General features: G+C 46.9%; 2 long non-coding RNA genes across 3 annotated transcripts in view; both read right to left on the bottom strand.

Moving 5' to 3' along the window:
• Positions 1-396: 396 nt before the first annotated feature.
• LOC105371525 (uncharacterized) overlaps positions 397-16,343 on the bottom strand; it is a 50,875-nt gene continuing 34,928 nt past the window's right edge. For both annotated transcript variants that reach the window (XR_001752781.1, XR_001752784.1), the window contains exons 3-4: positions 2,783-3,070; positions 397-888 (exon numbers count right to left, since the gene is read on the bottom strand). This is a non-coding gene — a long non-coding RNA (uncharacterized LOC105371525). The remainder of the gene's footprint in view (positions 889-2,782; positions 3,071-16,343) is intronic.
• On the bottom strand, positions 4,654-7,303 carry LOC105371526 (uncharacterized). Its single transcript, XR_934215.3, has 3 exons — positions 7,218-7,303; positions 6,383-6,530; positions 4,654-5,000 (listed from the first exon to the last, which is right to left on the bottom strand). It is a non-coding gene; the product is annotated as an uncharacterized LOC105371526 (long non-coding RNA).

Here is a 16,343-nt window from a genome sequence, read left to right as displayed (position 1 = left end):
TCAGGGAGGCCTTTTCCAGGATTTTGGCTTTTATTCTAAGGGGACTGGAGAGCACTGAGGGTTTTTTTCTTTTCTTTTTTTTTTTTTTTTTGACAGAGTCTCACTCACTCTTGTCACCCAGGCTGGAGTGCAGTGGCGGGATCACAGCTCAGTGCAGCCTCAACTTCCCAAGCTCAGGTGATCCTCCCACCTCAGCCTCCTTACTAGCTGAGATTACAGGCACATGCACCACACCCAGCTAATTTTCTGTATTTTTAAAGTACAGACAGTTTCACCACGTTGGCCAGGGTGATCTCGAACTCCTGGCCTCAAGTGATTTCACCTTGCACCAAGACCCACCTCAGCCTCCCAAAATGCTAGGATTATAGGCAGAAGCCACTGCTCCTGGCAGCACTGAGATTTTACTAAAGGAAAAAAAAAAAAGAAAGAATAAGAGACCAAAGATTGAGCTCTGGGTAGGAGTTTGTTTGTTTTTTTGTTTTATACTGCTAGGCTTGGAAACCCAATTTGGCACAGAATCTAGGTTCTGGGGAATGAGGTTTGGGGGAGAGGAAAGGGAATAGATCTTTAAATCTGGAGAAAAAAAAAAGACAAAATAAAACTCACAAACTTTCTCTGTCCCAAATTAGAAAGGCAAGTGAGCGATGGTGGTGAGATCTGGGCTGATCAATCAGTGTGTTGTGGGCACCCAAGGGCCTTGGGCCCTGTCCCGCTGTTTGATGTCAGGTGAGGTGTCCGATTCAGGATGATGGCATCCAGTTGTCCTAGCAGAAGCGAGGTCTGCACTGCTATCAGCAGGCTATACTGCATATCGGTTTTAAGCCGGGGAGGATTATGATCAGGTTTGCTCTTGGCAAAGATGGCTCTAGCTCCTTCACGGAGAATGGACTGGATAGGGGGCAAGAATAGGAGGAGGCCAGAATCAATGCAGGAAGACCATCTTGTTAAAGGATAATTTTCTTAAAGTTATGACTGCCATATACATATAAACATAAATGGAGATGTCACAAAGATTTTATCTAACTCGCCGGGCGTGGTGGCTCATGCCTGTAATCCCAACATTTTGGGAGGCCAAGGCAGGCCAATCACCTGAAGTCAGGAGTTCAAGACCAGGCTGGTCAATGTGGTGAAATCCCATCTCTACTAAAAATATAAAAAAATTAGCTGGGCGTGGGGACACACGCCTGTAATTCCCGGCTACTGCGGAGGCTGAGGCAGGAGAATCGCTTGAACCTAGGAGGCAGAGGTTGCAGTGAGCCGAGATCACGCCACTGCACTCTAGCCTAGATGACAAAGAAAGACTCTGTCTCAAAAGAAAAAAAAAAAGGAAAAAAAAGATTTTATCTAACTCATCAGTTGAGATAACCAGTATGACATAAAACTGCATTCAAAGAAGAATCCACAGAACAGACACACATATGCACAATCAGGAATGTAGAAACTAATTTGCTAATAGATACAAAAATGTTGTCTTCTACAGGGCAGAAATCACTTGCTACGTAAGTTAACTCTTGTGTCAACAGAGTTCAGAGTTGCAAAATGGTAAAAAGAAAAACAAAAAGAAAGACACAAATCCCTATAGAATCAACCCCGGAAAGGTTTTCTAGAGACAATATCATGGAAAGGAAACCCAGTAATATTTTCAGCCACTTCAAAGCCATTTGCAAACTTCCCTGACAATCTGAGGCTGTGGTCCAGCCAAACTTGGGCTTGTGACTTCTGCACAGGAACACCCTGTGAAACAGATCCTGGTGGGTGCTGTGGTTGAATTGGGGTGGTGGAGTCCAAAGATTTCCCTCACTCCTGGACAAGCAGATCCAGAGATACCACAAGAATCCTAGGACTCTTCAGAATCCAGTTTGAAAATTTATGGCCCTGGTATGTCTCAGGTTCCTTCCTGCTTAGCATTCTATGTTACCTGAACTTTCTAGTCCCTAAATCTTACTCTCAATTATTTCTATTGTTTAAGTACCACCTCCTGCTCATATTTAGATACCTTTAAATGTTAAGGATGAATTGCACAATTTTTAAGAGGCAATCTAGCATAGCAGTTTTAAACACATACTCTTGGAATCAAACTCTGAACTCTGACCTTGGGCGAGTCTCTTAATCTCTCTGTGCCTCTATTTCCTCATCTGTAAAATGGACAGATTCATAGTTCATAGGGTTGCTTTGAGAACTAACTCAATTAATATGTGTGTATATCATTTAGAACAGAACCTGGAATAGGAGATGTATTAGGTATTTTTATTGCTGTGATTCTACTGGTTGAATGAAGCCACAAGCCATCATTCTGGCTCACTGTGCTCACCGGAAGCCTGCTGGTTGGTTGAACTCATGATACCAGTCTCTCCTCAAAATTGGGATCCTTGGCCGGACACAGTGGCTCACAGCTGTAATCCCAGCATTTTGGGAGGCCGAGGTAGGTGGATCACCTGAGGTCAGGAGTTCAAGACCAGCCTGGCCAAAATGGTGAAACCCCATCTCTACTAAAAACACAAAAATTAGCCAGATGTGGTGCCTCACGCCTGTAATCTCAGCTATTAGGGAGGCTGAGGCAGGAGAATCACTGGAACCCAGGAAGCGGAGGTTACAGTGAGCCAAGATCACGTCACTGCACTCCAGCCTGGGCAACAGAGTGAGACCCTATCTCCAAAAAAAAAAAAAAAAAATTGGGATCCTTGATCCTTAACTAATCAACAAGTACCAAGTGTGAATACACAGACAGGAAGAATCAGCCAGCCTCTGAGAACCTTCAAGATCATCAGCATCACATACTTACTGAATGTCCACAGTGCCCACAGTGTGGTGTGGGAGGCTCCAGAGTGGGACCGCTGAAGACCGTGGATGCCCCCCAACCATGCTGCCCACACCATCCTTGGGGACGGAATTAGAGACTCTGGAGGCTGTAGTAGAAACCAGGAGCTCCTTGTGGCCTCTTCCTTTCTGAGGCAGCAAATGTATTGAAGGGACAGGTTAAAGGCTGTTCTCATGCCAAATTTTTGCCCAATCTTCTCTCTTTCCCCGCAAATTTGTCCTGCGCGTCCCTTCTCAGGCTTTGCTCAGGCCCCTAATCAGAGAGAGGGTTGTAGGCGGGTTAGAAGAAGATCCTCCAGGGGAGGTATCTGTGGATTTAAATACATTGATAATAATAATAATTACAATAACAAATCCTGTATAGCACGTACCAAGAGTTTTTTTGCTCTTCAAGAGATGCAGCTGAGAGGTGACAGCATGCTGGCAGCCCTCGCAGCCCTGGCTCACTCTGGGCGCCTCCTCGGCCTTGGAGCCCACTGTGGCCGTGCTTGAGGAGCCCTTCAGCCCACCGCTGCACTGTGGGAGCCCCTTTCTGGGCTGGCCAAGGCCGGAGACGGCTCCCTCAGCTTGCGGGGAGGTGTGGAGGGAGAGGCGTGGGCGGGAACTGGGGCTGCGCACCTGCCAACTAGAGTTCTGGGTGGGCGTGGGCTTGGCGGGCCCCGCACCCCGAGGGGCCGGCCGGCCCCACCGGGCCCGGGCAGTGAGGAGCTTAGCACCCGGGCAAGCAGCTGCGGAGGGTGCGCCGGGTCCCCCAGCAGTGCCGGCCCACCGCGCTGTGCTCGATTTCTCACGGGCCTTAGCTGCCTCCCAGCGGGGCAGGGCTCGGCACCTGCAGCCCACCATGCCTGAGCCTCCCCGCCGCCACCGTGGGCGCCTGTGCGGCCTGAACCTCCCCGACAAGAGCCGCCCCCTGCTCCATGGCACCCGGTCCCATCCACTGCCCAAGGACTGAGGAGTGTGGGCACACAGCGCCAGACTGGCAGGCAGCTCCACCTGTGGCCCCAGTGCGGGATCCACTGGGTGAAGCCAGCTGGGCTCCTGAGTCTAGGGGGGACTTGGAGAACCTTTATGTCTAGCTAAGGGATTGTAAATACACCAATCAGCACTCCGTATCTAGCTCAAGGTTTGTAAACACACCAATCAGCACCCTGTGTCTAGCTCAGGGTTTGTGGATGCACCAATCGGCACTCTGTATCTAGCTCATCTGGTGAGGACTTGGAGAATCTTTATGTCTAGTTAAGGGATTGTGAATACACCAATCGGCACTCTGTATCTAGCTCAAGGTTTGTAAATGCACCGATCAGCACTCTGTGTCTAGCTCAGGATTTGTAAATACACCAATCAGCAGTCTGTATCTAGCTAATCTAGTGGGGCCGTGGAGAACTTTTGTGTCTAGCTCAGGGATTGTAAATACACCAATTAGCACCCTGTCGAAACGGACCAATCAGCACCCTGTCAAAACGGACCAATCAGCTCTCTGTAAGACAGACCAATCAACTCTCTGTAAAACGGACCAATCAGCAGGATGTGGGTGGGGCCAGATAAGAGAATAAAAGCAGGCTGCCAGAACTTGCTGCAGCAGTACCGCTGAGGTCCTTTTGCCTGTGGTGGTAGCCTCGTTTTTTGTTTTTTTGTTTTTTTGTTTTTTTTTTTTTTGCTGTTTGCAGGTAAGTCTTGCAGCTGCTCGCTGTTTGGGTCTACACAGTCTTAATGAGCTGTAATACGTGAAGGTCTGCAGCTTCACTCACCAGGAGCAATGAACAACTCCAGACGCGCCTCCTTAAGAGCTGCAATACACCGCGAGGGTGTGCAGCCTCACTCCTGAACCAGTGAGACCACGAACCCACCAGAAGGGAAAAACTCTGAACACATCTGAACATGAGAAGGAACAAACTCCGGATACGTTGCCTTTAAGAAGTGTAACACTCACCCCGAGGGTCTGTGGCTTCATTCTTGAAGTCAGACCAAGAACTCACCAATTTGGGACACAGCTTACCTCCCTTCCTCCTGAGTGTGGGGTGGCCTTAGTGATTCACTGATACTAGAACGTGTCAGAAGCGAAGGTGTGCAACTTCCAAGACTAGGTCGTAAAAGGCCTTGTGTCTTCCTCCTTGCTCTGTTCCTGGGTTCTTTTAATCTGGAAAGCCAACTGCCATGCCCTCATATAAGGGCACTTAAGCGGCCTTGGGGAGAAGACCACATGGTGAAGAACTGAGACGTCTTGTCAACAGCCAGGTGAGTGGGTTTTTTTTGTTTTGTTTTGTTTTGTTTTGTTTTGTTTTGTTTTGTTTTGTTTTGTTTTGTTTTAACGAGACGGAGTCTTGGCCCTGTTGCCCAGGCTGGAGTGCAGTGGCGCAATCTTGGCTCACTGCAAGCTCCACTTCCTGGGTTCATGCCATTCTCCTGCCTCAGCCTCCTGATTAGTTGGGGCTACAGGTGCCCACTACCATGCCGGGCTAATATTTTGTATGTTTAGTATAGATGGGGTTTTAACCATGTGGGCCGGGCTGGTCTTGAACTCTTGACCTCAGGTGATCCGCTGGCTTCGGCTTCCCAAAGTGCTGGGATTACAGGCGTGAGCCACCGTGCCCGGCCGTGAGTGGATGTTGGAAATGCAGCCTTCTACCTCAGATAAGCCATCAGATGATGGAAGCCCTGGGGAAAACATACTGACTGTACTTTATGATGGACCTGGAGCCAGAACCACGCAGCTGAGCGTCTTCCAGATTTCTGACCCTCAGAAACCATGTAAGATTGGCTGGAGGTGGTGGCTCACACCTATAATCCCACCACTCTGGGAGCCGAGGTGGGCGGATCACCTGAGGTCAGGAGTTAAAGACCAGCCTGGCCAACGTGGTGAAACCCCATCTCTACTAAAAATACAAAAATTAGCCAGGTGTGGTGGCACACGCCTGTAATCCCAGCTACCCAGGAGGCTGAGGCAGGAGAATCGCTTGAACCTGGGAGGCGGAGGTTGCAGTGAACTAAGACCATGCCGCTGCACTCCAGCCTAGGCAACAGAGGGAGACTGCATCTCAAAAAAGAAAAAGAAATCATGTGAGATAATCTTATTTTAAGCTCCTACATTTGAGGTAACTTGTTATGCAGTAGATTAGTCTTCTAGGGCTGCCATTACAAAATAGCACACAGACTGGGTGGCTTTAAAACCAGAAGCTTATTTTCTGACAGTTCTGGAGGCTGGAAATCCAGAGTCAAGGTGTGGGCAGGTTTGGTTTCTCCTGAAGCCTGTCTCCTTGGCTTTGCAGATGGCTGCCTTCTCACTGTATCCTCACATGGCCCTTTCTCTGCACACACACCTGGTGTCTCTCCCTCTTCTTATAAGGGCACCAGTCACTGGATTAGGGCCCCATCTTTATGACCTCAGTTAACCCCAACCTCCTTAAAGGTTCTGTCTCCAAATACAGTCACATGAAGTTAGGGCTTCAACATACAAGTTTTGGGGAGCACACAGTCTTACCTGTAACAATGACAAATGGTTAAATTTTTTTCCTTTATTTTTTTCCCAGTCACTTGAAAATAAGTTCTAGATATCATGATCCTTCACCTCTAAGTACGTCAGCATGTTTCTTTTAACAGTGACACCTGTCATAGTCAGCTGGGAGGTTGGGATGTCCAAGATTAAGGTGCTGGTAAAGTGGGTTTAATTCTGAGGCCTCTTCCTGGCTTGTAGGTGGCTGTCATCTTGTAGTATGCTTGGGGAGAGGAAGATTTAATGTCTCTTCACTTTTTCCTAAGGGCACTAATCCTGTCCTGAGGGCCCCACTGTCATGACCTAATCTAACCCAAATTACTTCCCAAGGGGCCCACCTCCAAATACCATCATATTGGAGGGTTAGGCCTTCAACACATAAATTTGGGAGGTGGGAAGACACAAACTTTCAGTTCACACCAACACCCAGGAAAATTATTTCAACTTATTGAGAATTACAACATCCACAAACTTCGATACTGATTAAATAATATTTAATATACGGTTCCTGTTGGAATTTCCCCAATTGTCCCAAAAGTGCCCTAATGGCTCCCCACTTCATTCAGAGTAAGAGCCAAAGTCCTAACAAAGGCCACAAGACCTTCCACGATGGCTTGTCTGATCGCATCTCCTACCCTCCCGCTTGTTCTCTCCAGCCTCATGGGCGTCCTCCACATTCCTCCGATGTGTGAGGAACACTCCCAGCTCACAGTCCTTGCACTTTCTGTTCCCTGTGCACAGAAGGCTCTCTCACCTCTTTAAAGTCTTGGCTCAAATGGCTGAGATGTCAGCTTCTCCGTGGAGTGGCTACCCTTTCTAAAATTCCAATCCTTACCCCACCACACCCATCTTTTTGCCCTGTGCATTTTCTCTATCAACATATCCTCTTCTAACATACTGCATAACTTACTTGTCGATTTTGTTTAATATCTGTCTCCATTGTTAGAATGTAAGCTCCATGGCTGGGCGCGGTGGCTCATGCCTGTAATCTCAGCACTTTGGGAGGCCGAGGCAGATGGATCACGAGGTCAGGAGATGGAGACCATCTTGGCTAACGGTGAAACCGCGTCTCTACTAAAAACACAAAAAAGTAGCCGGGCGTGGTTGCGGGTGCCTGTAGTCCCAGCTACTCTGGAGGCTGAGGCAGGAGAATGGCGTGAACCTGGGAGGCGGAGCTTGCAGTGAGCCAAGATCAGGCCACTGCATTCCAGCCTGGGTGAGAGTGAGACTCCGTCTCAAAAACCACACACACACACACACACACACACACACACACACACACACACACCGTAAGCTCCATGAGAGCAGGGTTTTTTTGTTGTTGCTGCTGTTGCTGGCTGCACTATCCCCACTGCCTAGAATGGTGCTTGGTACAAACATCAATTGTTCGTAGGATAGATGGAGTGAGAGAATGAGGGATTTAGGAAAAACGCCTCCTATGGATCTTAGCAAAGGGCTACTGGGTGACGCAATGGTAATGAATTGCACACTACCCCTGCTGGAGAAGCTGAACACTTCTTGGGGAGACCCAGACAAGATAAGGCGAGCCTTGTTAGCCAGACAGGGGCTAAGGGGCAAAGGGGTGTGGTGGATATCTCACCCCTGCCACCAGGATTACTTGTGCTATGGGTCACATCTTATCCCATATTTCCTCTCATTTCTAAACATCTTTGTACTCTTTTATTATTATTGATTGATTGATTTCAATTGAGACAGAGTCTCACTATGTTGCCTAGCCTGGACTCGAACTCCTGGGCTCAAGTCATCCTCCTGCCTCAGGCTTCCTAGTAGCTGGGAGTACAGGTGTACATCCCCATGCCTGGCTTTATGCTCTCCCTTAAGGAAGACTTAATAATATTAATAAATGCCATCATATATCATGCTTACCATGTGACAGGCACAGTGCCAGACGCTTTTAAACTAATGTCTCATTTAATCTTCTTAATGATCTTACACGGCAATTATTACCATAAATCTCATTTCATAGATGATACAGAAGTTTAGCTGACTTTTAAAATTAATATTTATTGAAATTACAATTCAAAATCATAGCTCTTTAAGCTTCAGCTTTCTAATCTTATCCCGTTGATGTCCAACATATTTTACCTATCACTTTTAAAAGGATTTTGGATGTGTGGTTCCAATTATAAGGTTAAATTCCTTTTAAAGATTTAAAATTGCATTGAGACACTTACTGTGTTCTGTTTCCTTTTATGTACTTTAATGGCCTGACTTAACAACAAAACCTTTTCAAGTGTTTAAGTTTAGATTATTCATGCGATAAATTAAACTTGCAAATATGACAACCTTAGGGTTCTCTTAAATGTTCCAATACTATATATACGCTTAGGAAGTTTTCAGTTTAAAGTCATAAGTCTGAATCAATTAAATACTTACTAATTTTCAACTGGAATTTTGACATTTTTTTCTGTAAATAGGCTAAATTCTAGTAAGCATTATATATACATAAACATGCCTAGATTCTTTTACATGAAAACATTAATATCATGATTCCCTTAAACTTTCTATACTTAATTTTAAACCCTCCTGGGGTTAAAAGATTCTCACCAAGGAAAATGTAACATCATTTCCAGTTTTGGGAGTGCCTTCTCCACTCTCCTGAGATTACATAACAACTACTCTGCCTTATCTATCTTGCTGTGTCAATGACCCCATAATTCAAACAAAGTGCCACATAGACCAGGACACCTAGATTTAAGTTGTATGTTACACCCCTACCCAGGAAGCTCTACCACCTGATTTGATTTTGCTCATCTTTGGTTTTTCAAACTGGTAAAGTTGTTTATGTCTAACACTAAAGCTCTTTGAACCAGATGGAATTCAACATTCTTTCAAATTCTACTCTCTTTAGACTTCACAAGTCTTAGAGATAATAAAATGATTTCTGAAGAAATCATGGCTTAGGAATGAGCTGTTTTTCATCTACTGGAGGAACTTCAGACATTTGTCAGCCATAGGAACAGACTTGGGAGTCATTAGTTCCTTCCTAGGTTTGTGACACCCTGTACTTCCAGAGTTCAAGGTCAACCAACTCTTAGGACAGTAAATAGACTTTCTGCAGGAGTCCTGTTTGGATTCTCTCCTGCCTTAAAGTATAAAAGTCACACAGATGGGACCAGGAAGACAGAGAAGCCACCATCTAAAATTAGATATGCTCTGGAAGGCATGTCGGAGCGCCTGAGTCATTCATCACCTCTTTTGAATTACAAACCTGCGGTCGCGCACAGTGGCACACACCTGTAATCCCAGTACTTTGGGAGGCCAAGGCAGGCGGATCACCTGAAGTCAAGAGTTCGAGACCAGCCTGGTCAACATAGTGAAACCCCGTCTCTACTAAAAATACAAAAATTAGCCAGGCATGGTGGCGCACACCTGTGATCCCAGCTACTCAGGAGGCTGAGGCAGGAGAATCACTTGAACCCAGGAGGCAGAGGTTGTAGTGAGCCAAGATCACCTGGGTGACAGAGCCAGACTCCGTCTCAAAAAACAAACAACCAACCTGGTTATGCTGGTATGGGAGGTGACATTGTTTTTTGTTTTTTGACGGAGTCTGGCTCTGTCTCCAGGCTAGAGTGCAGTGACACGATCTCAGCTCACTGCAACCTCCGCCTCCCAGGTTCAAGAGATTCTCCTGCCTCAGCCTCCCGAGTAGCTGGGATTACAGGTGTGCGCCACCATGCCTGGCTAATTTTTATATTTTTAGTAAAGACAGAGTTTCACCATGTTGGCCAGGATGGTCTCGATCTCTTGACCTCATGATCCGCTGAGCTCGGCCTTCCAAAGTGCTGGGATTACAGGCATAAGCCACCGTGCCTGGCCTTGTTCCCATTTTTAATTAATTCATTCATTATTGTTTATATATTATGAATAATGTCATTGTCTTCAAGAAGCTCACCATCTACCAAGGAGACATACCAGCCAGGGTTCCAGGCTGAAGGTAGCCTACATTGTGGGAAGAGTTGATAAAGTGCAGTGGGAATCAGGAGAGGGAGGGGTGGTGGCAAGCTGATGGAATGTCATCAGAGAAGGCTTAAGGAAGGGGACGTTTGATATCCAATTGTGTTTGCCGAGTACCTATTGTATGCCAGGCACTGCTGCGAGAGGGACTTAGGGATGAACAAGAAACAAGAAAACATTAAGTTAATTTGAGGTCGTGAGGAGTTAGTGTTTATTGCGATCTTGCCATGTGCAGACACTATTCTAAGAGCTTTTCATAGATTGACTCACTTAATCCTCGCAGTCCTTCTGTGAGGCTGGAGACCATTATTATCCCCATTTTGTAGGCGAGGAGTCTGTTTCAATTATCCATTGCTACATAACAATCTACCCCAAAACTGAGTGGCTTAAAACAGCAATTTTATTTGTTCGCAATTTGGGGGTTCAGAAACTCAAGCAAGGGCTTAGTGGAAACAGTTCATCTCTACGCTGCGGTGTTAGCCCTGGTTGGAGCTGGAGGATCAAAATGGCCTTACTCAGTTGACTCGGGCTGTGGGGCTAGCTGTCAGCTGGGGCATGTCAGTTGTCCTTTCTGTGACCTCTCTCTCTAGCAGGATAGCTAGAACTTCTGTATATGGTGGCCAGCTTCCCAGAGTACAAAAACAGAAGCTGCAAATGACATAGCATCATGTCCACCACATTTGATGGGTTCATGAATGTCACAGAGCCAGCAAAGATTCAAACGGAAAGGAAACTGACATGGAGAAGTGGCAAACTCACCTTGCAAAGGGCACACAGGATGGAAACGATTGCTGTGGCAATCTTTGGAAACGATCTTCTTCAGATATGGAGTTTAAATAATTTGCTCAAGATCATACAGCTAATAATTAGGCTATGGGGATCAGTAGGGTAAAAGTTAGATGTGCAGAAATGTGGAGAAGGACATTTCAGATTAAAGGATGCATGTGAATGAGGGCCCATTGACGTGAAAACCTGGAGTGTGATTGTTCAGTTTGCTGTGTGAGAAGAAAAACTTTAGACAAATTGAATTTAACAGAGTTTAACTGAAGAAAAAACGTTTGAGAATTGGGCAGCCCCCGAACCAGAATGGGTTCAGAGCGATTCCCGAGACTGCCATATGGTTGGATAACATTTATGGACAGAAGAAGGAAAGTGACAAACAGAAAAGGAAAGTGAGGTATAGAAACAGCAGGGTTGGTTACAGCTCAGTGTCTGCCATCTTTATGGCTTGAACAGTGGGCCGCCTGTGATTGGTTGGAATTCTGTGACTGGTAGAAGAGTAGATTACAGACTTATTTACACATCCAGTTAGGTTACAATTCACTATGTATGGAGAAACCTTTAGGCCGCACTTAAAATATGTAAGAAGGCAGCTTTAGGCGACAGTTTATGTAACAGCTGGAAGAAGTAGGTGGACAAGAATGAACAAAAAGGATAGGCTGAGGCCAGATGGTGGATGACTTTGAAACCAGGCTAAGTGATTTGGAATTGGCTCTGCAGGCAATGGGAAGCTATGAAAAGGCTTCGAGCAGGAGAGTGACTTGATCAAAATCATGCTTTAGGAAGATTAGCCCTATGTATTGTGGACGAATGGAGGCAGCCCAATAAATGAGGAGACCTCCATAGGCACAATGAAGACCTGACCTAGGTAGCATTTGTGGAAATAGGGGCTGGATATAAATGCGGGAAACATCACATGGGTGAATTTGACACACGTGGTTTTTTTTTGTTTGTTTTGAGACAGAGCCTAGCTCTATCACCCAGCCTGGAGTACAGTGGCACGATCTCTACTCACTGCAAGCTCCGCCTCCCGTGTTCACACCATTCTCCTGCCTCAGCCTCCCAAGTAGCTGGGACTACAGGCGCCCGCCACCACGCCCAGCTGATTTTTTTTTTTTTTTTTTTTTTTTTTTTGTATTTTTAGCAGAGATGGGGTTTCACCGTGTTAGCCAGGATGGTCTTGATCTCCTGACCTCATGATCCGCCCACCTTAGCCTCTCAAAGTGCTGGGATTACAGGTGTGAGCCATCGTGCCCGGCCCACACATGGTATTTTATAGATGAAGAAATTGTTACTCTGAGAGGTTTACCTTCCAAGACCTCTTAGAGCAAATGGCAAAGGCAGATGGTAAGAGCTCAGTTGGTAAAAATAAGTGGAGGCTAGAGCCCACATGGGAATAGAGCCTTTGAGCCCCTAGTCCATTCAAGCACAATGAGAGTGTTCATAGTAGAGTACCATAAAACTTGGGGACAAAAGTGGCTAATCTCTGGGGCACACTGGCATCAGCATAGTGTTGCTGCCAATCCCACGAGTTGGCCAAGGAGGAGAGTATTTGGCTTGAGCTAACAGGAAGTGTCTGCTCTGGTAGATAACCTGCAGCCTTCCTGCTCTGAAGTGCCCACTTAGAAGGGAGTGAGGCCTAGTCCATGCAGGGTTAGATTGAGGCTGGGTGTGGAGGGGAAGCTAGGGGTTTAAATTTTGCTCCTTCCACATACACCCTGAGTTGCTTTGGGGTTCTTTCTAAATAAGAACACATTTTAAAGGCAGCAGGGAAGAGAGAAGAGATGTGATATTCAGTTCTTTCAAAGCTTTTAGTTTGAAAAGACTTAAGTTTTTTTGTTTTGTTTTTTGAGACAGAGTCTCACTGTGTCCCCCAGGCTGGAGTGCAGTGGCGCGATCTCGGCTCACTGCAAGCTCCGCCTCCCAGGTTCACGCCATTCTCTTGCCTCAGCCTCCCGAGTAGCTGGGACTACAGGCGCCCGCCACCACGCCTGGCTAATTTTTTGTATTTTTAGTAGAGATGGGGTTTCACCATGTTAGCCAGGATGGTCTCCATCTCCTGACCTCGTGATCCGCCCGCCTCAGCCTCCCAAAGTGCTGGGATTACAGGCATGAGCCACCGTGCCTGGCCCTAAGAATTTTTTAAAGAAGAAGAAGGAGCTGTTCGATCTCATTATTAGCATCTCTAGCTGGAAGGAGGACCCCAGCCCCCTCTACTAGCTGCTCTTTGGGGATGGTGTCTTCTATTCTTCTGACACACTTCATGCAAGGAGAGCTCATTTTGGCTTCCTCAAAAATTGGACTCTAAATTTAGAATTGGCCTCAAAACTTCTGATCTTTGAGCTCAACTTGTCTGGGTTGGCCCAGCCTGCAACAGCCACCTCTTATCACCATTAATGTTGTTCCTATTTGGTTCGCTGGTTGTCTTAGAAACACAGATTGGTATGAGCTGTCACAGCCACGAAACATAAGCCAGAGCCCACCAGTCTACCCGGGCAGGACCCTGTTCCTGCTCTGTTCTTGTAAATAATGTTCTCTCCAAGCAGAAAATATTTCACCCTCATTTTCTAAGAGCTGGACCCCTTGGGCCCATTCCAAATTCCTTCTGGTCTCCCTTCCATCTGTTGCAAGTTCCTTCTCAGCCTTCTCACCCTTGGAATCACCAGAAAGAAGAGGAAGTAGTCGTTGGTGTGTGCCTCGGCCCAGCTGCCTGCCATCTGGACTCAGACCCACAGACCCCTGGTCTTCCACCATAATCCTGCCCTTCCCCTCACCTCCCTCCTCATAGCCATGTCGGAAGAAGGAGCCAAGGGCCAAGGGGCCTACCAGTCCCCAACGGGTGGTCCTTCATGTTTCTGCATCTAACCAAGGAGCTGTCATCTTCCTGAGAGCCCAGCGGTGTCCATTCAGTGCACAACAGCTGGCTGGGTCTGAGTTCTGAGCTCTGCCCCTCGTTCTGTCTGTCCCTGGATGAGTCACTTGATTTTCTAACTGGACCTGTTTGCTCATCTGCAAAATGAAGAGGTAAAACAAGCTGGCCTCTAACCTTCTGTGCACTTAAAACATTCCATGCCGCTATGACCATGACCAGCTTTGACTGGAGAAAGTGTCCGTTAGCATTAAAGAGAGGAGCATCACACGATGTCATCCACAACGTCCCTGCAGAGCACACAGTGATGAACATGTTGGAGAGTTCCAGCATTCCTCAATGAAATCCAGAGATATAACACCCTCGAACTCAATTCAGAATGGTTTTTCAGGAGGCCAAAGCCATCTGGATCTTATTTGTGGTAGTTTTGAAGGTCCACAGTGATCTAAAGAGAAAAGCTACATTCTCTAGAGCAGTGCTTTCCAAAGAACACCAGAATCTCGTGCGTGGTTGTGCTTCACAAACCTGCTGCCAAATAGGCTTGGGGAAAGCTGGGTTTCTTTACTGCAGGATTTTTCAGAGCTGCTAATAGGCTAATGTGCCCTGAACTTTGAGCCGCTACTAGAGACATTTTGCTTCATCTTCTTAACTGCCTGTTTGGTTTTGCTATTTTGCTAATTCCGTTTTAGAGATGAGAAAAGGGGGCTCAGAGAGATTAAGTAACAGCCCAGAGTCCTAGAGCTTGGAAGTGAAGGGGCTGGGATTTGAACTCAGGTCTAGTCTGAGTCTATGGCCCTGTTTCTAACGCTGCTGTATTTTCATTCTATGTGAGTAAGCTCCAGGAAGTTTCCAGTCCTGAGATGCTGCCTTAGTCTCAGCTAAAACATCTCAGAGAAAATGAAACAGAGGGTAGGTTTCTGGGGAAGCAGAGGGGGTGCTGCTGTGTTTGTGTATTTAAAGCCTCAGGCATAAGGACCTGTTCCCTGGGGACAATTCATGCTGGGGGGATGAGGACTCACAGGTGTCTGCACTACTACTCACAACTCCAGTCTCTGGAAGATTAAGTCAGGTGAAGAGTGCCATGCTTTTACCAAAAAAAAAAAAAAAAAATACACAAAGACTTCGTGGCGGTTCCAAGGTACTCATTCTAGAGAAATCCACTGTGGCACCCCAGATTTGTACCACATGACTCCCCTCCCCCACATAACTGATGGACAGGGTCAGCATCAGCCCCTTGGTGTCCCATGGCCGGAGGGGGGAAAAGGTGAGCTGGGCCATCAGGTTCTATTTTGTGAATTAGGACTAGAGAATGCAGAGAGACTGGCTTGGTCATGAATCACTGATTCATTCTTTCATTTTTTTCTTGCAAGCATTTATTGAACACACTGTCATGGGCAAGAGACACAATGGCCAGTGAGTCCATTGTCCCTGTTCTCAAGCAGAGACAGACCTCAAATAAAAATAACGCTCACGAGGGGTATAATTGCAACCCAGGTCAGTTCTCTGAAAAGAGGGAACATTGTCCTATGACTATATGTATCGAAGGAGCACGCTCTGGTTTAGGGAGCTGTTGTGTGGCTGTGGAGGGGTGCTATGCATGTGTCCCTTGAAGAGACGGTTTTGTGAGGCATGTGGTTGGCTGACAGCTTCCAACTGCTACACCTTCAAATCTCCCCCAGCGTGACACCAACACTTCTCCCTCCCCAGGTAGCTCTGGGCCAATGACCAAACACAGAAGGGATATTACCAGCAGGTCAGCTCTTCATCCTTTACATCATTAACCCCAGGTAAATCTCCTGCATATCTAATCCCACTTTGATATCTGCTTCTCAAAGGACCCAAACTGACACAGAGGTTAGAGGAGGTGCTCCCTGGGAAGTGAAACAGAGCTGGGATCAGAAAGACAAGTGGGCCGGGTGCAGTGGCTCACACCTGTAATCCCAGCACTTTGGGAGGCCGAGGCAGATGGATCAACTGAGTCAGGAGTTCAAGACCAGCCTGGCCAACATGGTGAAACCCCATTTCTACTAAAAATACAAAAAGTAGCCAGGCATGGTGGCAGACGCCTGTAATCCCAGCTACTTGGGAGGCTTAGGCAGGAGAATCACTTGAACCTGGGAAGTGGGGGTGGCAGTGAGCCGAGGTCACGCCACTGCACTCCAGCCCAGGCAACAAGAGCAAAACTCCATCTCAAAAAAAAAAGTGGACCTCAACCAAGGAAGAGGATAGTTGGACAAAATTGGGTGCAGGTGGGGGAGGAACATTTCATTTGGGACCAACAGCATGTGCAAAGACCCTGTGGTAGAAGGGGGTGAATGTGGCAGAAGTGTAGTGAGTGAGGGGAGACTGGAGATGGGGGCGGGGAGCAGGGCCAGAGCACACAGGGTCTCGTGGGCCATGGGAAAGATT

Source organism: Homo sapiens, chromosome 17 (assembly GCF_000001405.40).
Source record: "Homo sapiens chromosome 17, GRCh38.p14 Primary Assembly".
NCBI classification, from domain to species: domain Eukaryota; kingdom Metazoa; phylum Chordata; class Mammalia; order Primates; family Hominidae; genus Homo; species Homo sapiens.
This window is presented reverse-complemented; position numbering and strand designations above follow the sequence as displayed.